This window comes from Homo sapiens, chromosome 13 (genome assembly GCF_000001405.40).
Source record: "Homo sapiens chromosome 13, GRCh38.p14 Primary Assembly".
Lineage (NCBI taxonomy): Eukaryota > Metazoa > Chordata > Mammalia > Primates > Hominidae > Homo > Homo sapiens.
The window spans coordinates 64,043,671-64,068,093 of record NC_000013.11 but is presented as its reverse complement, the minus strand read 5'-3'; the positions used below and the strand labels follow the sequence as shown (position 1 = coordinate 64,068,093).

The 24,423-nt window shown below is 34.1% G+C and overlaps 1 long non-coding RNA gene across 1 annotated transcript in view, besides 1 other annotated feature; it reads left to right on the top strand.

Annotated features, from left to right (window-relative positions):
* The window catches only part of LINC00355 (long intergenic non-protein coding RNA 355), an 89,641-nt gene that overhangs the window by 7,918 nt on the left and 57,300 nt on the right, over positions 1–24,423 (top strand). The gene's annotated exons all lie outside the window — the stretch shown is intronic.
* Positions 13,444–13,738: a silencer, noted in NCBI's record as "tiled region #7190; K562 Repressive DNase unmatched - State 9:DNaseU". NCBI's record gives its function as "represses a minimal TATA promoter and a strong SV40 promoter by Sharpr-MPRA in K562 cells {active_cell/tissue: K562}" and the evidence as "EXISTENCE:reporter gene assay evidence [ECO:0000049][PMID:27701403]".

Below are 24,423 nucleotides of genomic sequence, written 5' to 3'. Positions count from 1 at the left end.
TGAGGATACAGCATCAATATTTTAAAAATTAAAAAAATTAACACCTATATGTCTAGTTAAATGTAAATTCTCACGTATTTCTCTCTTTTTGACAAGAAATCCTTTCATTCATAACTATATGCAGCAATAAAATATAAAAACATGGTACATAATTTCTAAAAAAGGTTAATGCAGGAATTTACCATTCTTGAAAATCACACAATAAGGCAGCATTTAAGTTTGTTTATTATATGGATAAAAAGATATGATTTTCTCCCAATAACAGTTAATAACTTATTTCTGTATGTAGAAATGCGGATTTAATATAAGCATTAATAGAAACAAATGTATTTATTATTTATTCTGGAGACAATGAATATTGTGCTTTTAACTTAAATAAGTTCTCATTTCAGTTAGGTAATACCAACAAAATATGTTTTAAAAATTCCATAGTCTTAAGATTATACACACACACTATATAATATATATACACATATATACAGCCAACACACGTGTATGTTTTATATATGTGATCAACTACATTGAAATAATGCTTATTATTTGGTAGGCACTGTGATAAGATCTTTACATGCATTGTTTTAATTAACTGACAAAAAAGCAGCAAAGTAGCTAGTATTAATTTATTCTTTTAGAAAAGGAAACTGTGGTTTAGCTTACTTCGCCCAACTAGAAATCATGGGAGTTAGTTTCTGAATGCATATTTGGTTAATACATTTGTCATAATAAATATTCAGACACCTTTATTGTCTATGATTCTCCATTTCATCATCCATATATCCACCATTTTTTTCTTAATTTCACACACTTAGCTGTAGCTCATAAGACAGGAATTTTAGCAAGAAAATAAGGACAAGAAAATAGCTTATAGTGATTTACAGAGGAGATGAGAAATGTGTGGAGGCACCTTGTACACATAGGAATATGAAGAGTTTGTAGACATGAGGGCCTGAGTTTTGTCTAGAATGAAAGATACAATAGAAAGAAAGGACAATCCATGATAAAGAAAATTATCTAATCAAAAACCTACTGGGGTAAAGTGATAAGTGATTTTTTAAAATAGTAAAAGAATTCGCCTTTAAAAGCCTAGGGAGAAAGTAGACAAGAGAAGATGTATCAGAATTACAAGATGGATGTAAGGTATCAAAAAAATTAGGCAGAAAATAGGGAAGTTGAGTAAACATAAATCATTACTTTGCACCCAAAAATAAATCAGGAACTAAAGTTGTATGCTAAAGTAAAAGACTTGGAGTAGGCTTTTAAGGGTGGTGATAAAAGGTTTGAATTAGGTACTAATGTGGAAACTATGCAGCTTAATACGAATAAATAGAATGATTGGCAAACATCACTGGGCCATTTAGAGGCACTTTAAATTTATATTAAATATTTCACTCTCTGAGAGATTAATTCTTTTAATCAATCTTCATATCTTCCTCAGTGACATGCATAGAACATTGTCAAAATGCTGAGTGAGTTTTAATTTTCTAGTTAGATATTCATAATTACATGAATGGAAACCTTTTTTTGTTTGCAATACAATGCATTTTAAACATTATACATAATCTTGTCATTTACCTAGACCTGCCAACTGTGTGCTTGCATAGATAAAAAGGATTTTTTTAAGTTGTAGAAATTTTTAAATTAACAAAACTCTAAGTACTCTTCAAACAAAGCCCATGTTTTGCAGTGACATAATTAATTCTCTCAAATAATTTTTAAATAAAATAGAAAATCTCTGCACATTATATTTTAAAGGGAAAAAACATTATTTTCCAAAATATGTCAAGATTTTCTACAATTTTGTTACGGTCAGAGAAATAACTTGCTATCCATTTGCTCCATATATGAACTTTTTTATAATTAAAAAATTAAAATTAGTAAAAATTTAAATATTCTTTAAACTAATTAATTTAATATTTAACATGATAAAAATTCAGTGTACAGTATAACATTTAAAAAGAAAATATCTTTTTCTATAATCTGACAACAGTGTTTCAAAAAAGTGGCTGTCTTCAAAGAAATGAAACCTTTTAAAATAGGTTTTCATTATAATAATATGTATAGGGATAATTAAACTAACATAATAATGTTGTGAAAAGGTGTATTTCCTGAGTAGAGAAAAATTCGTTGGTACGAACATGCATTGGAAATCATAGGAATTTTTCAGGGGTAATTTTCTATATGATTGAAAGCAGGCATTTACAAAAACAATACTGAAATTATACCTAAGTGTTATTCTTTATTTAATTTGATAAATACAAAAACACTAAGTATGAGCCAAATACAATTAATTTCCAAATATATTGCTGTGCATATGGAAGAAGTTTTACATGAGATGTATTTTGTCTCAATTTAAAATTGAGCTTTTGCAGCTTTTTATTACACTTTAATAATATATTTCATGCATAACAAAGAATATACTTGATGCATATGTAAAATATAAAGACATAGAACAAACATCAATATACACACTAAAGCTAATTTCAAGAATGATACTGATATTCTTGATAACTTTTCACAGATATTCCAAATTTTTGTCTTTTATGTTTTATTGTAGATTATCACGTTATGTATACATTTGAATAATTTTGAATGTAATATATATATAATATAACATCACACTGTATGTTTCACCCAATTTTTTGTAATGCATAATTATGTGTTTGATCTTTGCACAGCCACAGTTTGGTCATAATCACGCATGTTTAGGGTAACCCTGATAAACATGTAAATATTTCTATTTTTTCATATGAAAATAATTAGAAAAATATAGTATGTGTAGAATTTAGTCTTTAATATCTAAATTTGCATACTGTCTAAACTTTATTGTAAGTATCATTGATTTCCATAAAATGTTATATTACTATATCTTAAGTTTTCAATATTGCTTGATTTTTAATTATGGACAAAGAGGAAAAATAAAAACAAAAATATTGAAAATATATATGAATTTATAAATCACAAAAATGCTTATGTATTATCAGGAAAAAATTAAAATAATAATAAGTAACTAATAAAATTAGTTTTGTTTGCCTGAAGTTGTATGATCCTGATAATTTTTTAATGTCAACTTCGAGAGAAGAAAATGTTTTTTAAAAGTAAATGACATAGAATTGTGTCCTAAGCATAGTCATGTAATTTATTAATCCCAATAATGAATCTCACTAATCATATAGTACATATGAAGCTAAATATTTAAAATATTAATCTAAAATTAGGTTAAAACAAAAAAACAAAAGTTGAAAATAAAATTGAAATACACACATTGAACTAGGAGAAAATGTTATTAATCAATAAATTATTAAACTTAGTAATTTTAGTTTATAACCTGTCACTTATAGAAATTAAGAAAATAATAATAGAATGTACATATTTTCTAAGTACATAGAATGTGCCATTATCTGTGCAATGTCTAATATGTGGGACAATAATCTGAGCCAAAGAAGAATAAAGCCTTTTTTTAAATTTATTTATTTTTATTTATTTTATTTTATTATTATTATACTTTAAGTTTTAGGGTACATGTGCACAATGTGCAGGTTAGTTACATATGTATACATGTGCCATGCTGTTGTGCTGCACCCATTAACTCATCATTTAGCATTGAATAAAGTCTTTAAACAGTGTCAATTCAACTGAATGTAGGAAAAATAACTTCAAATTCATTACTATTTACCTTACACCATACTACAGACGTAACAATAATAATTACTATTAGTAAGCTTTGGGATTATTAGGATTATATCACTGAAACATGGTTTCCTCATTTATAGATAGAAATAACATATCTGGATCACTTTATATATTTTTTTAGATCAGGATTCTTTTCATAGTCCTTGGATACTAGAAGTTAAGGTTTGGGAAGGCTCTGGAATCCAACTTTATATTTATAAGGGAGAAGGCCTTTAGGTTTGTGCCACATCCTCCAAGGTATCAGTGACTTCTTAAGAAGTTTATAATCACTACTGTAGAAGATGTTGAAGCATGATTTAAATTTTTTCTACTTAATAAAATAGAAGCTTTTTAGTCCCAAATCAGCACTTTTTATATATTTGAAAAGAAATAGAAGAAATACTCCTTCCATTTCTTTATCTGGACTACATGAGAATAATAATCAGAATTTCAATCCAATTGTATGATGAATTCAAATGAAATCAACTGACATTGTTAGTGTCAACTCTGCATCAGATATTCTAACAAAAGACAAAGTAAAACATTATCCCTGACCTCTAGCTATTTAGAACTAAAAAAAAGAACATCATTAAATGCATATTTTCTATTTCATTTAATGAATAAATAATTATAATGTGGTAGATTGACCTAATTTACACATTTATCCTATTTTTAATGAGTAGTATCTTGTCAAAACAATTGAATCATGCACTGTGATGAATAGAAACAAATATGCAAACTTTGCATACTCTTTTTTTCCAGGGGGATTCATGATACAGTGAAAGGAAATCAAAATCTGAATCAGTAGGAGACCAGTTAGACAAATCAGAAAAAAAGAATGAGAGGTAATATTGCTCTCCTGGAGTTGTTCATGACCAATGATTGAAAATTTTAAGAAAGGCAACACAGAATTTTAAGAGGGATATTCAATTATAGTAGTTACAAGGAACTGTTACTGAATGTATGACCAAGAAGAAATAAATTTCCTTGGATAAGTTTCTTGTGAAGGACTAAATCTAAATATTCAATCAGGAAGGATACTGCTTTGTTTGCTATACATACAGATTGTGAGAAAGTGACTTGAAATATTAATTAAAATTTCCAACTGCTGCAGATTTTGTGGGGAAAAAAGGCACCAATATAAGTGTCTTGAAAGGAGTTTTTCATATTATGGAGAATAAGCTAAATGTTTGGTAGTTGTTCATGAATACAAAATTACTAAAATAATTGAGGAATTCAAAAACTCATGAGAGATCTCATTATAAATAATCAAAATTTAAAATTATGCATAACACTTGTAACTGACATTTATATACCATAAAATACAGAATAATTCTCACAACAGTTAGTTTAATATATGTAATTGAGTGTTCAAAATAGTGTCATAGATACCACTTTGGCTTTGGCCCTAACAGAGAATGAATTTTATTTCCACTTTCTTTTACCATTAAACAAAAATAAGTAGGGAAGACGTGTGGCAGGATGAATAGGAGGACTATACATTGAGATTTGTATGAATCACCTTCAAAGCATGAGTAGGCAGACTGTAGACCCATCATATGCTTGCATGTTCCATATGCAAAACTTCAAAAGAAAGGAAGAAAACTAATAGTCATATGTCTCCACAGTTTATGATATTGTTTTTTCCATAAGACAGTTTACGATATGGTATTTCCCATGAGACTACACCGATATGGTTTGGCTGTGTCCCCACCCAAATCACATGCTGAATTGTAGCTCTCATAATCCCCATGTGTCATGGGAGGGACCTGGTGGGAGGTAATTGAGTCATGGGGGCGGGTTTTTCCTGTACTGTTCTCATGAGAGTGAATAATTCTCATGATATCTCATGGTTTTATAAAGGGCAGTTCCTCTACATACACTTTCTTGCCTCTTGTCACATAAGATGTACTTCTGCTCCTTCTTTGCCTTCTACCACGATTGTGAGGCCTCCCCAGCCATGTGGAACTGTGAGTCCATTAAACCTCTTTTTCTTTATAACTTACCCAGTCTCATAGCAGTATGAAAATGGACTAATACATATACTCATGTTTGCAGGGAGCTACTTGGGAGGCTGAGGTAGGAGGATCACTTGAGCACAAGAGGCTGAGGCTGCAGTGAGCCATGACTGCACCATTGCCCTCCAGCCTGAGCAACAAAGTGAGACTCTGACTCAAAAAAAAAAAAAAAAAAAAAAAAAAGAAAAAAAGCAAGGAAGTACAAGTCCAGTATCCAGTATCCTAGGACTGACAATTTTGGAGATGTTTGGGAATGTTTTGCAAGATCAGATCAGAGACTGGATACCGTTCAGTAAAATTATTGCTATAATGACAAAACTAGTAGTCATTTCTTAGGTCTCAGCCCAATAAACCTACAAGCAGTATTCAACACATTTGATTAATTCCCTCCTTCTTGAATCACTCTTAACTTGACTCAAAAAGTAAAACTCTTTTATGGCACTCCTACCTCAACAAGTAATTATTTTCAGTCAGACTTGCTTGTTTCTTTTCATTTTTTTACCTAGTCGTAGAATGAGCTAGGCATGAGTCTTTAATTAGAAATACACATCCTGTCACATGGTTTTGTGTGTCACATATAGGCTGCCCATTCTCTAATTCACATTACTTGTCCTAACCTTTCTCTTCAACCCCAAGCTACTAAACATTTCTACTTTTCCACCTCATAGTTGATTCTTTGTGTTGATTTAATGTGTTGAATTAACTTGGCCACAGAGTGCCCAGATAATTGGTGATCATTATTCTGGGTATTTCGTTGAGAGTGTTATTGAATGAGATTAATATTTGAATCAATTTATGAGTAAAGCAGATTGCCCTTTTTAAAGCATATCATCCAATTAATTGAAGGCCTGACTAGAAAAAAAGTCTGAAATTCCCATGAGTTAAGACGGAACTTCTGTTTTATTGCTTTAAGTTGATCATGGTCTTTTCTTGCCATCAGACTTTTATTGTAACATCAGCTCTTTTTTGTTCATGAGCCTGCCAACATTTTCATTGAAACTCATACCATTACTACTTTTGGTTCTCAGGCCATTAGACTTGAACTGAAAATACACCATTAGCTCTCCTGGAATTCTATCTAGCTAGTCAACTGCAGATCTTGGGACTTCTCAGCTTCCATAACCATGTAAGCCAGTTCCTTATTATAAATAAAAGTAAGTGTGTGTGTGTGTGTGTGTGTGTGTGTGTGTGTATCTCCCTTATTGGTTCTGTTCTGGAGAAACCTAACAAACTTGATATTCCCCCTGTGTTGCATATCTTCAATTTACTCCTTTGGATACATTTTCCACAATTTTTCCTTTTTGCTTTGTACCATAGAAAATTTATTCCATATTAACAGAATCAACAGTTTCCTTTGCCTCCTGCTTTTAGTTGAATTTGCATAATGAGAGGCACAAGAATGAAGTCTAGAGAGTAAGAGGAGATTATGATTGGGACATTTATTCCCTTGGAGCCCTCCTGCTAAGATCAGCATGTGCTGGTTCACTTTATTGAAGAACACAGCTTTCTTCAGACAGTTCTACTTAGGGATGTCTTCCCTGTCATTTGTGTTGACCGCTCCTTCTCTTTGTCTCTTCAGACTTAGGGTTTATAATGCTAATCACCCCCCTAATCACAGTTATTAGCCCACAGAGTATTGTACAAATCTTTCTTGATTTTCCTAGACTTGGTAAATAATCTCACTCCTTTATTAAACTCTCTTCAAATTACCCAAGTTGAGTATGCCATCTGTTTTCTGCTGCATGCTAACAAAACACCCCCCAAAGTCTTCATCCTACAGACTCCTTAGGAAGTAGCAAATGCATTTAACAATTGCCAAGGAAAAAATTTTGAAGTTATCCTTGTTTTCTCTCATCCTTTTCCTCTTCGTGTCAAATTCATTTGTAATTCCTGTTGGCTTCTCCTTGAAAATATATTCAGATTTTGATAACATTGCATCTGTTCTCTACTTCCAGCACTCTACTGCTCTGGTTATCTACATCCTATTCTCATTGCAGCAACCAGACCGATTCCTTTAAAATATCAAATATACTATGTCCCTTCATGGTACAAAACTTGAAGTAGCTCCTCATCACACTTAGAATAAAAGCCAAATTTTCATCATATTCTAGAACATGATATGGTACTCATCTTGCACAACTCTCTTCTTCCTTCATCTGTACCAGCTACATCAACTTTTTATTGATCCTTGAATATCTCAAACATGATTTTGCCTCAGGTCTTTGCTTATCTTTTGGTTAAAAAATTCTTCTCTCTGATATCTTCTGTCTGGTTCTTCATTACACTTTTCTTCACTTACTTTAGACCTATAATAAAATGTTTCTTAGCAGTGAGGTATTTCCTGATAGCTTTAAAACGTGAAAACCCATCATACCATTTTATTTTACATGTATCCCTTGATTTAATCTTAAAAAATATTAAGATCTTCTATACATATACTGACTTATTTCTAATGTTCTTTTGTTCAGTTCTACAAATTTTAGTTTCTCTTTAGTATCATTTTTCTTCAGCATAAAATTCATACAAGCATTTTTATAGTGTAGTTCTCCTGGTGCAAATTTCTTAAGCTTTCAGTTGCATGTGTGTGTGTGTGTGTGTATATATATATATATATACACACACACGTATATATAAATATATACGTATATATATACACACATATATATATTTAGACAGGGTCTCACTCTGTCACTCAAACTGGAGTGTAGTGGCACGATCTCGGCTCACCACAACCTCCACCTCAAGCGGTTCTCCTGCCTCAGCCTCTCAAGTAGCTGGGATTACAGGTCCACACCACTACCACCCAGCTAATTTTTGTGTTTTTAGTAGAGATGGGGTTTCATCATGTTGGCCAGGCTGGTCTTGAATTCCTGACCTCAAATGATCCACCGCCTTGGCCTCCCAAAGTGCTGGGATTACAGGCATGAGACACCCTCCTTGAGCCCGGCCCCTGAACATGTATTTTGAAGGATATTCTTATACTGAATGTCGAAAATTGAGGGACTGGCTTTCTTTTCTGTTAACTGTTATCTTCTGTACTATATTCTGACCCCAATTGTTTCTAATATGGTCAGCTGTCGTTCTTATCTTTAATACACTGCATAAAATGCGTCATTTCTCTTTTCACATTTTTGAGATTTTCTCTTCATTTTTGCCTGTTTGATCATGATGTGACAAACTGTGATTGACTTTGTATTTATCTTGTTCAGGTTTTTCTGAAGTTATTAGATATATAATTGGAGAGTTTGATCAAACTTGGTATTTCTCAGCCATTAACATATTCAATGTTTTGTCTGTATGTTTCTATCTTTATTCTGTCCTCCTTCAGATACATCCTCTTATTACCTTTATTTAGACTGTTTAATTGGCCCATAGCTTCCTAAACCTCCATTCATTTTTCCTCAACCTTTTTCACCCCATTCTGCTTTACATATAGGAAAATGTCTACTCACCATTATTTAAGGTCACAGATTTTTTCTTTTCCTGTTCTTCCCATTTATCTGCTAAGATTCTATCCAGTCATTATGATATACTCCCTTTATTTATTTTAACATGTTTATAATTACTTATTTAACATCTTTGTTTCCTAAAGGAAACAATTAACCATTTTGGGGGCAGTTTTTTATAGACTGACTGATTGATTCGAGTCTGGGTATATAGAGCACCTGTTACATAAGTAACCCACCTTAGAAAGAGACTCCATCTTTTACTTCATAGGGTACTTTGCCAAGAAGAATAAAGTGTTTTGCTTAATAAAATAATTAAAAAGAGTGCATCCAACCAGATAAGGACATAAACAAGCACATTTTTCTACTATCAGTCCTCATCAGAGGACTCTGTGACCATAAAGATAATAGGGCTTCAACAGCACCAACATCTGCCACTGAAGGCTCTGCCCACATCAAAGTCTCTTCCATGCAAGACCCAGGGACTGCCTGGCCTAGACCAGGACATTTTTTTTTCTCTTCATCACTCTCTCTGGTCTGATTTGTTAACCCATCTTTCTGTCTGTTCTTCCCTTGATGTTAAATGTAACTTTGTTTGTTTGTAGAATAATCTATAACATTTACATATTAATTAAATGTACTATTATGTATGGTTTGCAATATTGATTGACTTGTGGAAAGGCTTGGGCTTATGCACCCTTGGCTCTGAGTACCAAGTGAATGGGAAGTACTAAGGGGAATTGCCTCCTTGGGAACTCCAAATAGCATGTGGCTTTTATGATGGAAATAGCATCAGTAAAAGTCCAACATTGTGGAAAGACACAAATGTGTTGACCTGGTTATCTCTGACTTTGCATTGTTCATGAGACTGGGTCACATATTTATATTAATTTACATGAATAGAATGATTGTTTGTATACTAAACATTACTAATAATATATGTAGAAACTCTGTGCTCTGTTACATTCATCTAGAAAGTGTTAGATGTGTCATCTACTTTTAATCACTATGAACTTGAGTAGATTTGGTTTACAAAAATAGGGCAGACGTGTCTATAAAGCTCATGATGTTTTCCATGACCCTGTAACATGGTGAGACTGTCAACTTCCAAACTGTGTGCCCATCAGTTCTTCTCAAAACTTGTATTTAGACTTCCTTAGGGCAGGTCTAGAGAAGAAGGTGCTACATGCTGCATCTCAGTTTCAGTACTGGAGTGACAAAAATGTTACAAATTTGCGTACTTGAGTAGTGACAGATCTTAAATATTTGCCAGCATTGCTTAATCTCAGTTATCTTTGTTTTCCTCTCAAATTTCTAGCAGCTGCTGTCTGATAAACCTTTTGTACTCTTGTTCTCCATATTGGAAGCCCAGTCTTAGGTCAAGGTCTCATGGTTAACTTCTAGGTAGATTGTTTCCACCCCCATGGGGCTGATTTCTCTCTGGTGACCTGCCCCATGCAGTCTGGTTACTTCAGCTTCCCCAGTCACTGATAACTGCTTTTTTTAGCTTGGTGGTACTGTCATGCTCTCATTAGTTTCCAGCTCACTGCACTGTGGTCAGGAAGCTGTGTCCAGGGAGACCTGGTATGACCATGGGCCTTGATTTATGAATTTTTAATCCCTAAGGACCAAAATCTTCGAGGTTATCTCCTCTACAAGGCTTAAAATGAATTAACTTATGTATTTCATACACTATGATAAAGAAAAGTAGCTGAGAGCGGTCTGAAAAATGTGAGGTATACAACATTTCTCAGGCCCAGAAAACAAGAGAAGGAGTCTTCACCGCCTACCCCCAACTCATGCCCTTGGGGAAATTGGGGCAATTATTTAAAGACATTTCTTCCCTTACTCAGAGTTTCTAGACTAACTGATAAATTATTTAAAATTCCATCATAGGTTGTACAATGTGAGTCTTACCCATTATGTTTATGTTCCTGGAATTTGCAATACAAAGAATGATGTATAGCCAATTGATAGTTTATGTTTGATTTAGGAACTGTCCTTTCTTTTTTCATTTAAAACCTACTAGCAATTGCTGTTAATCAGAGCATAACATCAACCTGTGTCTCCCATGTTGCAGTCCTCAAATTTGTCCCAAATAAACTCTTTACTTATATTAATTTTGCCTTAGTTTCTTTCTTCAGGTCAATAAGTGTTAAGGTTTTTTAATATTGGGATGACTAGTCTGATCCTGATTCTGTCAATGCTGGGAACAGAACAGTCTGTCTGTCTATCTATCTATCTATCTATCTATCTATCTATCTATCTATTCTTATCAAGCTTCATCCTTAGAAAATATGATGGTAGGTGAATAATGAATAGACTGATGTTTATGATAACTTCATATGAGAAATTAAACCAACAGATAAACAGGAAAACAAAACCCACTTATTTCTATGCAACATGATGTTCCAGAGAGGTGCTTACGTCAGGACAAGCAGGATAGGAAATGATATGGAGCACTCTAGCAGCCAGCTTAGGTTTGTAATTGGAACACAGAGAAGAACTTAGCCCATTTCTGCTTGGATGACATCCTGAGATCAATACTCTTTCACTGCCTTTTATCTGGGACAAAGAAAATAGTTTCTCTAGATAATGAGAATATTAATCTAAAACATTCTGATTAAATTATTGTTGAATAGAGTCTGATGGGAAAAATCACTCTTCCCTGGTTTAATTGCACCAGGATAATTTGAAAAAAAAACCAAAGCAATAACATTAAAAAAAGATCATGGATCATTATAGAACAGTGTCTATCAGGCCTGTATCTTCTCTACCTGCATTCATTTCCAACATCTGGTAGTAGGCAGAAGGTCTACATAATGCCTGCAGTAGAGGGAGTATGTGGGTGCCCCATGCGTGCAAGTTTCCGGAGTATATTCTGCATCCTCCCTGGCCTTCAATCATGATATGCTTTTTTTTTTACTGTTGAGTATGGGCTAAATAAATATAACAACTTATGTAAATCACCAATCACAAAGATAATTCTCAATAAGCAATTATATCAACATTGTTGCTTGAAGTGATTACTTTGTTGCTATTACAAGGAGAAAGCATGTATACAGTGGTTTTATGTCAATAATAATTCACCATTTGCTGTGAATCTACATAGCCTCAGAGTTACTCTTCGTTGGCCCTGTCTTTTGAGGTTTGTGGTGTAAATAGCTCTGAGCTGGCAAGTTGTCCTGATGGTTCATTTCCTAGTTTTTCTTTCAGGTTTTACAAAACATTAAGCATACATCAGGATGTGTTGCCTGAAACCTGCTTTATATTGTCTTGGTGTGATTTCAGAAGATTTTTCTATTTTGTTATATTGGACAATTTGACATTTACCATCATTTTATAGGTATTTAACATGTCCCTGGGGCTGAGAATATAGAATTTTTAAATTTCACTGTGAAACCAGAGACTGGTTGCAATTTTAACTACCTTAGATTTGGGCTATATTTTAGCTATCCACTGTATTCACATGCCACCTACCTGTCAAATCTAAAAGTGATTATTTAAAATTATTAATAGTTTCAGTTCTGAGCTTTATAGGTAAAATATTACTTTTTCTGCTAGCAACCTCACCACCAAAATGTTCCACACATTTGCTAACAATTTTTTCTAATAACACTAATCATGTAAATGACTATATGTTGAATCTGAATTATGTATTTATTCACTCATTTATTTATCAATATATCTTGTTTCTCTATTGAGCAAATTAACAAAATTCTTACTTTCTCAAATCTTAATTTTGAAAAATATACCAAGTGTTATAAGTGAAAATTTTATTTTTCTTTTCAGTAAAAAAAAACCTCTCAGAATGTATATTTAAAAATTCTGAGTGAAAAAACTTATTTCAATTTATCTCTTCTTATGTCTATATTTTTATCAACCAGAGTATAAATTTTTAAATTTTGAAAAAGTACATGTACACACATATATATGACAGGTACTCTCAAATACAGATTTGTGCCAACTTTAGAGATTGTAACATTGTAATAAAGGAAAATGTACAGGACTCATGAAGAGCAGAAAATTTCATGAATATCAAGCAAAAAAAGAGTTAATTAAGTGGACTGAACTCAGAAAGCTGAAGCAAATCTTTTTGACTTTTGCTTGGAATATTGCTGATCTTTGTTTTGTTTTTCAGAGTCAAGGAAACTTACTTTGAACTATTTACAGACTTTAATAATTGAGTAAGATATACTCCCTATGATCAAAATTTGAAGCATGTTTGTTTCTCTCTGCCTGGTTCCTCTAAAATTTAGAAACTATCTGTGAGTATTCTCATGGCAATATAGTTGTTTGCATCAGTACAGTAAGAATCCATTTTTCTTTTGCAACAGAACACAATTGAAGAAAGTGGTTGTTTTACCAAGGCTTTGACAGGAAGGATATGCTTTTTTTTAAGGAGTTAATCTGAACTTGCAGAGCCAGTAAAAGCCCCACGGGGGAAACTGGCCTCACACCCTCATGTATGCAGTTCCTGTACAGGGTTCCTGACCTGTGGTTAGTAAAAAATGTCACTTTCTAACAGGCTTAAGGGATCCAAGTTTATCTTGGGACCTTAAGAGGAGAGAAGGGGAGAGTCACCCAACTCACAGGTGTTTGAGGATAGAAACCCATGGTTGGGCTTGGCTTTAAAAGGTCTTATTTGAGATTCCTTGTGCAACAGTCTTCCATCAAAGCCAATATAAAAGGCCTATGGAGAAAAAATTATTCATGGTGTACTTTATGCAAATAATCTGGCCAATTATAAGACTAAAGTCCATTTTGCAACCCACTCAGTCCAATGATGATTTTTTTTTTTAACAAAACTGAGCACTGGGGAGAGAGAAATTATGTTTCAAAACTTATCATATATCTGTCATTAAGTTCTAAACTCATTAGTTGTTTTAATTTTTCACCTGGTTTTAGACTAACCCTGCTTGTTACTGTTAACCAATCAGCAATCTGTGGCTGCATCTCAACAAAAACATGAGAGATGGGTAATGTAAAAATCTGGATTAATATTCTGGTTCCAAGCAATTATCCTGCAAATTCTTCCCAGGTGATGGGAATCAATAGGATGCCTATCATTCAGAGTTTTACTGTTGGGAAAGTAAGACCAAGGGAGCTAACCAAAGCCAAGCACCATGCACCCAAATCGTAGCAAGCATGACTATAGCCACCACTTATCTGGGTGTAGTCACAAGACATCCTTTCCTCTCCCTTGTTGGAGGAGGGTTCAGTTCCACAGTTTCACCTTAGCATTCAGCTTATAATAAGGAGTCCATGCAAACCCCCTGAGATACATTTTTTGTCCCAGACTCAATTCCAAGCCTTGGATCAAAGCCCTAGAAAGAAAAATGGATCCAAGGGATCCAGAGGAAGACAGCAACAGAGGTTAAAAGGCACAGTGTAGGCCAGTGTGGCTGATTACTGCCAATTAAGCCAACCCCAAGCTTCCTGTTTCATGGATAAAGGTCACCTTAATATCCATGGCATAAATGAGGTCTAGGAAACTTGAAGGCCACTGACAGTAGGTGGGAAAGAGACAGAGGTGAGAGCAAATAATTCATATTCTCTAGGCTATCCCTGCTTCATGGGTGCAAGCCACTTTGACGCGCATGGTGGCACCTGCTGAGGTTGCCGAAACTGGGGAATACAAGGATGGAAGAGGGGAAGAGGATGCTCTTCTCTCTCTCCCTCATGTACCCCGGTATCTGCTAGGAAGAGAAGGGAACCAGGGACACCTGCTTACCTCTTGCTAGATGGGTAGCCATCATCTTCAGTCTGTACCCCTTTCGAATGTATCCTAAACCCTTTGGACTCCTTTAAAAAATGCTTGCTTTTTCCTTTCTTCTCCTCAGTTCTCTCTTCACCGATAGGTAATTGTGTCTTTGTACTACAGGACACTCCCCTCAGATGCATCCTCCAAACTGGAAGGAGTTAATTTCCCAAATCTTAAACTGGTTGACTTAGGACTGGGCTCCAGGGAAGGGAACCCAGAAGCCCAACATGCCAGCAAAAGGGTAAAGTTTCCTTTTTGCTAGTCGGGCTTTTGGCCTCCTTCTCCCTGTACAAACTGGTAAAAGACCTCAGAATTTTTGAGCTGTCCTTACCTCTCCCTTTGTTTCATTTTGATACAAGTTTTGTAGTAACCCTGTGTCTGTTCTTGCCTTCAGGCCATCAAACTCCAAACAGTCATGCAATCAGAGCCTCTGACAATGGCCCCATCTGCTGGGAACCCTTAGATAGGCCCCTGAGGGAGTTCTGACTGCTGTTTCCTCAAAACAGCAGCCCCTATCAGCAGGAAGCAGCTAAGATAGGTCTTGGCCCTTATCCTTAATCTAAGAGCAGTTAGATGTACTTCTTTAGATGGGGGAAGGAGACAGCCAGGTAGGAGGGGGTCCCTGAAGAAGCTCCAGTCAGCCTGCTCACTGGAGTAGAGCCTCGGGAAGTTCATGATGTTTGCAGCAGGGAGGACCCTGGCCCCTCTTCCTGGGTGGAAACTAGGATTCAAACTGCCCAGTGGGAAGTGCTCTAGTGGAGGGACTCTGGCCTTGCGAGAGTCCCTGTTCCCCCCTTTTTTTCTCTTTTCACCCAATAAAATCCTGCTTTACTCACCCTTTAAGCTATCTGAGAGCTTAAATTTTCATGGCCATGGGATGGGCAAGAACCCTGTCTTTAGCTGAACTAAGGAAAAGTCCTGCAACACCAGGTCTCATTTTCTTCCTCATATTCCCATTTTTAGTTCTAAATATCACAACAGATAATATATCCTTCAAAAGGGATAACAATAAAAAACACAACCATTAAAATAAGGGTTTGAATTACCCACTGGGTAAGGAATCCCAATTATGTGAGTAAATTTTCAGGGGCCGTAATAAATAATAATAATAAATAAATAAATGCTGATATGTAAACATGAGGAGTTGGTAGAAGAAAAATAGTGGAGTTAATTATATTTCCAGCTTTGTAATATTTCCTCCTTGTTTTGGAACAATTATACATACAGTGTTTATCATGGACAACTTTAACATTGACTTCATAATTTGCAGATTAGCACAATTTAGTTATAAGTGAAATGATAAAAACAAATCTTCAAATAAGCATATAAAAAGATAATACAATTTCATTAGGGAATTGCAAATTAAAACAACCATGGGATATCACTACACATTTATTAGAAAAGGTAGAATCCAAAACGCTGATAATACCCAGTGCTGATTTGGATGTAGAACAACAGGAATACTTCTTTGTTACAGGTCAGAATGCAAAATTGTACAGCCACTTTGGACAACAATTTGGAAATTTCCTACAAAACTAAACATACTCTTACTATATGAACTAGCATTCATGCTCCTTGGTATTTACCCAAATGAGTTGAAAACATGTACAAACATAAACCTGAATATCTATAGCAACTTTATTCATAATTGCCAAAACTTGAAAGCAATCAAGATGTCTTTCAATATGGAATGGATAAGAAATTGTGGTACATCCATACAATGGAATATTATTCAGCAATAAAAATAAATGAGCTATTGTGTCTTGAAAAGGCATGAAGAAAGCTTAAATTCATATTGCTAAGTGAAAGAAACCAATCTGAAAGTGCTATCTGCTGTATGATTTCAAATGTGTCACATTCTGAAAAAGACAACATTGTGGGAGTAGTGAAAATTAATCAGTGATTTTAACAGATTTGGGGAGAAACAGGGCGAGATGAATGACTGGAGCACAGGGAATTTGTAAGGCTGTGAAACTATTGTATATGATACTGATATATACATTTGTCAAAACCCATAGAATGTATTGTAGAAAGAATGAGTCATAATGTTACCATCTACTTTAGTTCATGATATTGTACCAATATCAACTTACCAATTGTAACAAATATACCACTCTAATGCAAAATATTAAGAATAAGGTTAACTGGGTGTGGGAGGCATGGAGATGACAGAGTATAGACAAAACTCTTTGTATTTTCCATTTACTTTGGTAAAATTTAAACTGCTAAAACATCTCAATTTCTTAACAATGAATCTTCAGAATGCTACCCAAAGTTCTTCTAATTAGAACTAGATGAGTATGGATAATATTTAATGTTCTTTTCTGTTAGGTAAAATAATATCTTCACAAGGATAGATATATTATTATATTACTTAGACATATAAAAATGGACAGAAAAGAGAATTTTGGTTTTGAGCAGCAAAAGTAATAAAATATAGTGATCACTTGCCACTTTTGCTATTTGGCTTAAAACAACCTCTTTCTCAATAGATTCCAATCCCATATTGTGGACGGTAATAACTTAGCTCCTAAATCAGAAGCTTGAAGTGGTGAAGCTAAGTCAATCAAATTCTCAGATCTGAAAGTTTGAATCTAGAAATTTTGGTGCAAGAATAAAAATAAAGTCTAAATTTGTTGATACTGGCAATAGCAACAATGTTTAGTGAAGTTAGAAATTCTAGAAATTTTCTGGGAACATTTTCCTGTTGTTAAGTGTTCTGATAGTTTCATTTTTGTGCAGTTCCAGCCTACAATCAATTCGTGGTCCCTCAATATACATCCAATACATAAAACTTTTGCTTAAAATAGCCAGAGCCTATTTCTGTTGCTGTGACCAAGAATACAAATTTTTATTTTTATTATTGTTTTATTAACATTATCTTTATTAGTCATTGCTTTTCAGCCTTTATATAAGGGGAAGAAGAAAAAAAATACAACAGAATATAGCAAGAATAGCAAAAATTCTCCCCTAGTTTTTGAAAAAAAAAACCCCGAAAACAGAATGTATCACTCCCAGATACACCTTGGCATATTTTGAGATGGCTGTTCAGAGAGCCTGCAAACCTAAGTAGCCACTTAAAGTAGTCTTTTGTGGGGAAGATTTCTATCAGTAGAAAAAATCTGCATTGATGCAGCTAGGCTTTATCTGAGGCCCTCCCTTGTCCTGATCTAGAAAAGATTAATCTAGAGTCTGACACCTTTAAATGTGTGAAAGAGACATATGTATTCTCTCTGAGGGCTGCTACTTGTGAAGTTTCACCTATGTAACAAGACCACCTTTACTAGCCAGGTCTCCACTTTTCCCCCTCCCAGCAGAACCTGTTTTGCCACACTCTAAGCCCCCATTCTTCCTGTAACCTCAGAATGGTCTATAAACTTCTAGACCCCGTTAGGTGGTGGGGGAAAACACTCTACGTTTTGGCCCTGTGTGCATGTTAATACATTTCTATGTCACTTGTCCTGTTGATCTCTTTTTGTGAGTTGACTTTTCAGCAAAACTTCAGAGAGCAAAGGGGAAGCTTTTCCTTGGCCTCTAAGTTTTTTTTTCTTTTTTTCTTTTTCTTTTTTTTTAATCTAACAACAAGTAGGTTAGCCACTAGAAAATATAAATATTTTGAAATCATAATTCTTATTTCCACAATTTAAAAATTATTTGCACTATGGACTGAATGCTTGTAGCCCTGCCCCCTAAATAAGTTCATGTATTGAAGCTCTACCTCCCAACACAGTGGTATTTGGAGATAATAATTTAGAAAGTAGAGTTACATGAGGTCACAATGATGGGGTCCCCATGGTGAGACTGGTGCCCTTGTAGGAAGAGACATCAGAGAGCTTTCTCTCTTTCCATGCACATGTGAATCATGTGAGCAAACAATAAAAAAAGGTGACTTTTTGCAATGCAGAGAGTTCTCACCAGGACCTAACCATGTTGGCACCTTTATTTCATAAGGTCTAGCCTCAAAAACTGTAAGAAAATAAAGCTCTGTTGTTTAAGCCACCCAGTCTGTGGTATTTGGTTATGGCAGTGCTAGCAGACTAATGCAATTTGGATTAACAAAAAAAAGACGCAAATGTGTGCATTCCCTCGTGAAGTTAATAAGAATCATCGGCCAACATATTCTTCAGGAGGAAAAACTCAAAAGTTTTCTCATCAATAAAATTTCAAAGTCAGCTAAACAGGGCGCTGTGGGTAGCACTACTCATTAACCTTTTCATAATATATACAGCCCTGAAAGCCTTGCCATTTTATTATTAACATATCTTCATTATAGAGCTGTCAATGTCTGTGAACACACAGAACTCCTCTCAATCCTCAGTGGCAATTAAAGTGCTGTGATCACAAAGGGGAAAGGGTGAGAATAGGCAGGCATCTTTATCACTCTTAGACGTTAATGCTTACATATGAATACAATATTTATTTGGACTAATTTAAGTTATAAAAATACCCAGCTTATGCCATGTTGCCATACTGAATGAACAAAATTGAGGCTTCAACCTATCTCTCTACATAAAAGCAAGTATCCATAATATATTTGTCTACTTGGAAATCTATATTACAAAGACAAGCATTAAAAGTCTCAAAAAATGCAGTTTCTACTTTTATTAAATAAGTGTGTTAGACCATTATATGAAACTCTCTACTTCTTTTGGAAAGCTCAGGAAGAGAACTTGTTAACATAATTCCACAGTTCAAAGGCAGAGATTAGAATGAGGAAGATATTATAATAAAAAGCAAAAAGTTTATGTGTGCTATAAAATCCTAAAACACAAATTATTGATATTCGATATTACACTTATACAGGTAATAATTCTAAATTGCTGTGAAAATAAAATTTAAATCTTTATTCTTACTTTTATGCTCTCCAGATAATAATACTGTCATGTAAAAGGTACACAAGTGAATGCATTTTAATAAATAGTAAGGTGTGAATAATTTACATCGATCCAATTATATAGTTATCTGGTTGGAGAGTGTGGTTTATATATGTAAGCTTTCATTCTTAGTTCCTGGCTCATAACTCCCACACCTCTTGTTACAATATTTTGTTATAATATGGGTATGACAGGCCTCAGGAGAAGGCCTCAGAAAACAGAATCTCTCTGGCCTTCTCCTGCCCTTCTTTCACCTACTCCAAGGAAGGACTCTAATCTTTACAAGACTTTCTGATTGTGGTTCATAATCTTAGATAGAGTCTTCTGGAGAGCATCTGGAGAGCTAAACATGTGGAGCCTCCTGAAGGAGGGCACATCTCTTCCAGCATACCTCACCCTATGCATTTCTTCATCTGTATACTTTGCAATATCCTTTGTAATAAACCAGTAAACTTAAGTGTTTCCCTGAGTTCTGTAAGCCATTCCAGCAAATTAATCAAACCCACTGAGGGACTCATGGAAACCCCAACTTGAAGCCAGTCTGTCACAAGTTCCTGAGGCCCTGACTTTCGATTGTTGTCAGGTTAAGAAGACTGAGCCCTTAACCTTTGACTCTATCTCCAGGCAGTGCCAGAATTGAATTGGAGGACACCCAGCCTGTGTCCGCTGCTTGGTGTCTGGGAAAAACCACTACATGTTTGGTTACAGAAGTCTTCCTCTGTGTTGATGATTGTTTTTGCTTTGGTGTGAGAGCAGAGGAAAAACATGGTTTGAGAGAGTTTTTCCTTAAACAAAGACCTACTATGATGTTTCTTGTGCTGAAATATTTAAGATAGTATGGTCATTTAAAAAAATGTATGGCACTTCTTTGTTATTGTAATGTTACCAAATGGTGTTTTGCCTCAAAGAGTGGCAAGAATCATGGAAAGCATGCAATTCAAAGCAAAAAGGGAAGAACTGTGAACTGAAAAAGTCTATGCATAAAAAAGAAGTGACACAGAAGAAAAATACTACATGATCTCACTTGCATATGGAATCTAAAGAAAAAAATTGACTATATAAAAACAAAGTAGAATGGCGGCTACCAGGGTGGGGAGGGGAGGGAAATAGGAAGAAGTAGTTCAAAGGGTGCAAACTTACAATTACATAAGATAAATAATCTGGAGATCTTATGTATGGCAGGAGAACTATAGTTAATTATGTTGTATTGTATATAGAAAATGTGCCGAGAGAGTAAGTTTTGGTGCTCTTAATACACACACACACACACACACACACACACACACACACACACACACACACGAAACTGTGGAAAGTGATGGACATATTTATTGGCTTACCAAAATATAGTTATCATTTCACTATTTATATCTATATTAAAACATCATACTGCACATTCTAAATATATACAATAAAAAGTAAATAAAAATAAATATGTGTAAAAGAAAAAATGATAAATATTGCTTAAAAAGACATGGAAAGATATGAGCAAAGTGGAAATTTCTTTTGTTTTTAACTAAATTGCAAACACCAAGGAGGCATAATCTCATTGCATTTTGAATAAGAACATAATTTTGTGTAAGTAATGAGTTTTGTGAGATGTGAACACATTTCACTAAGATTTTGTTTAAATATTGAGAAATTTCTTTAATTAAATTCTAAAAGGCAATTTATACTGCTCCTAATCACTTTAAATCCTCTAGGATTTTCTGTGTTAACATTAACGACTCACCTAGGGTATTTTATTTAGAATTTTTCAAAATGTTTATAGCCAATGAAAGGTAAGATAGTGGAGTAGATGAACAGTGTAGTACTACAGCTGACTTTTTAACAACACATTATTGCATTGCAAGGATCCACTTACCTGCAAATTTTTTTCTGCCTCTGTCACCCCCAAGACAGCAAGACAAACTCCTCTTTTTCTTCCTCCTCAGCCTAAACAACATGAAGAAAAGAAGGATGGAGATCTTTATGATAATTCACTTCTACTTAATGAATAGTACATATATTTCCTTTTCCTTATGATTTTCTTAATAACATGAAAATGATCTTTTCTCTAGCTTCCTTTATTGTAAGAATATAGTACATGACACATGTAACTAAAAAATATGTATTAATTGTCCATTTTATCAGTTTTGGGGGACTCAAAAGTTATATGTGGATTTTTGACTGTACAAGGGTTGGTGGCCCAATGCCTGAGTTGTTCAAGGGTCAACTGTATAGAACTACACAGCTGCATGGAACTTCATTGTGTCCATACATAATTTAGTCAATGAATACATTTTTATTTTGATGAAACTCTTTTCAATATGTTAGAAATTTTGGAAATGTAACTTTAATTTTGTTGAAATTTAGGTTTTTTATGTCAGTATTTATTTTTTATTTGTACAATCTGTGTTTTTGTTATGCTGTTTATCTTTGCTTGTCTCACTTTGAAATATTTGACTACTTTTGAATTTTATTTTTATTTATAATCTCAATTCCTCTTGTTTATTTTCCTTGTACAATCTAGGAAACTTTCAGTAAGATATTGACAAGGAGGGATGGGATTGGGCATCCATGTTCCAGATCTTAGGGAGAAACATTCAGTATTCCACCAATAAGTACCATATCGGCTATTGGTTGTTCATAGAAGCCATTTATCACATTGAGATTATTTCCAAATATTCTTATATGGATGAAAGTTTTCTATTAAGTAAATTAGCAAGCAGGCATCATTCAACAAACAATTTTGTAATTTTTATAGACTATAAGGTGAGAAATTTTATTTTTCTGTAAAAAGATTCTTCTAAATGTGTTAAATCAAAAATTTCAGCATATAATTGGAGTATGTCAGTACAAGTGCTATAATTATGACTGTATGTTTGCATAGAGATTTTACAATTACCTGTTTAATCTGGTCAATATTTGCAACTGATGCCAATACCAGGCATCATCTTCTATGACTAGGTTTTTAATCTTTGATGGCTTAATAGTTTTACTTTTTACATAGAATAATCTGAATTAGACTCTACTATTGCATTTTTTATTTCACTCCCCACTTTTATTGCCTTTAACTTTCAAGCTTCACAAGCAAATTTAATAAGGCTTTAACAATTTTTAAAGTGGTTCGTAGGAATTTTCATGCATAAATTCAGCCAACAATAATGAGAGTTAATGAAGATATATCTGTTAATGAAAAATCGTGTTGAATATGTCACTCTTACTATTCTAGTCTTCTTTGTGTCTTTATAAAGTTGTCACTGCTACACTTACTTCACTGACAAAAATTATTTCAAATAAGAAAAAAATATGAAGGAAAACTTTCATTAAACTTTTCAATTTTAGGAATGCCATAATAATTGCAATGTAAATTTTTATGCCTTTTATAGCAACACTTATCTCCTACATGGCATTTTTATTTTAAGAAACAGGGCCTTCCTATGTTGCCCAGGTTGGTTGCTCTCCAACTCCTGGCCTCAAGCAATCCTGTATATCAGACCCACAGCAATTTTTTTTTTTTTCTTGAGACAGAGTCTCACTGTCACCAAGGCTGAAGAGCAATGACGCTATCTCAGCTCACTGCAACCTCCGTCTGCCAGGTTCGAGTGATTCTTCCGCTTCAGCCTCCTGAGTAGCTGGGATTACAGACACCATACCCGGTTAATTTTTGTATTTTTAGTAGAGACGGGGTTTCACCATATTGGTCAGGCTGGTCTCAAGCTCTTGACCTCATGATCCACCCCCTTCAGCCCTCAAAGTGCTGGGATTACAGGTGTGAGCCGCCGCACCCAGCCTTGACCCATAGCAATTTTTAATACTTCTTCCAGAACATGTTTTTTTTTCAGAATTTTAAATGATCAAATACATGAATCTGGAGATTCTTTCATTCTTGCTTCTACAAGTTAATAAGATCACCATGGTCAATAGAGATTAAATGTGCTGTACAAAATACTTATATTTTATTTGGGTTATCAGATATGTTACACAGTTTGAAATGATATTTTTAAAAATAATGATACAATAAACATGCCAACAAAGTTGCATTCATTTTATTAAAAATTGCGATACTTGATATTTCCCTCTTACTTTACAATTTTTTGTAGTTTTTGAACATAAGGCCATGCATTACTTTTGCATTACTTTTCTCCTTAGATTTATTCTGTCTTTAAGTATGTTTGACCTTGGCTACGTAATCTAAATCCAAGTAGTCATCAGAATAGCCTTGATAGCTTGGGCCCAAATCCAGGAATTTTGAGTCAGTAGTTTTGTTTTGGGGTGGGTCCCATTAATTTGCATTTCTAACAATTTCCTAATTGATGCTAATGATGCTGGTTTTCAGAGAACACTTTTAAATAGCACCAGCTATAGTGTAATTTTTATGCCATATCAACAATGTACAACATATTTACTCAAAGATTCTAAAATGTTTTGTATTAAATAATTAAAGAAAAACTATCCTAATATATAGCTATGTATTAAACAATTATGTCTTAAGTGAAATTTTAAAAGGTATAATCTGATAGATAAAAGATAATAACTTTCTTGTGAATATCAGCATGTGCCTTCTAAATTACCCTCATTGAAACCACCAGCAATTTCTCACCCAGTTTACTTGAAAGCACTTTCTTACAGTCCTTTCTGCCTATGGTCTTGTTATCATCTAATTAAAT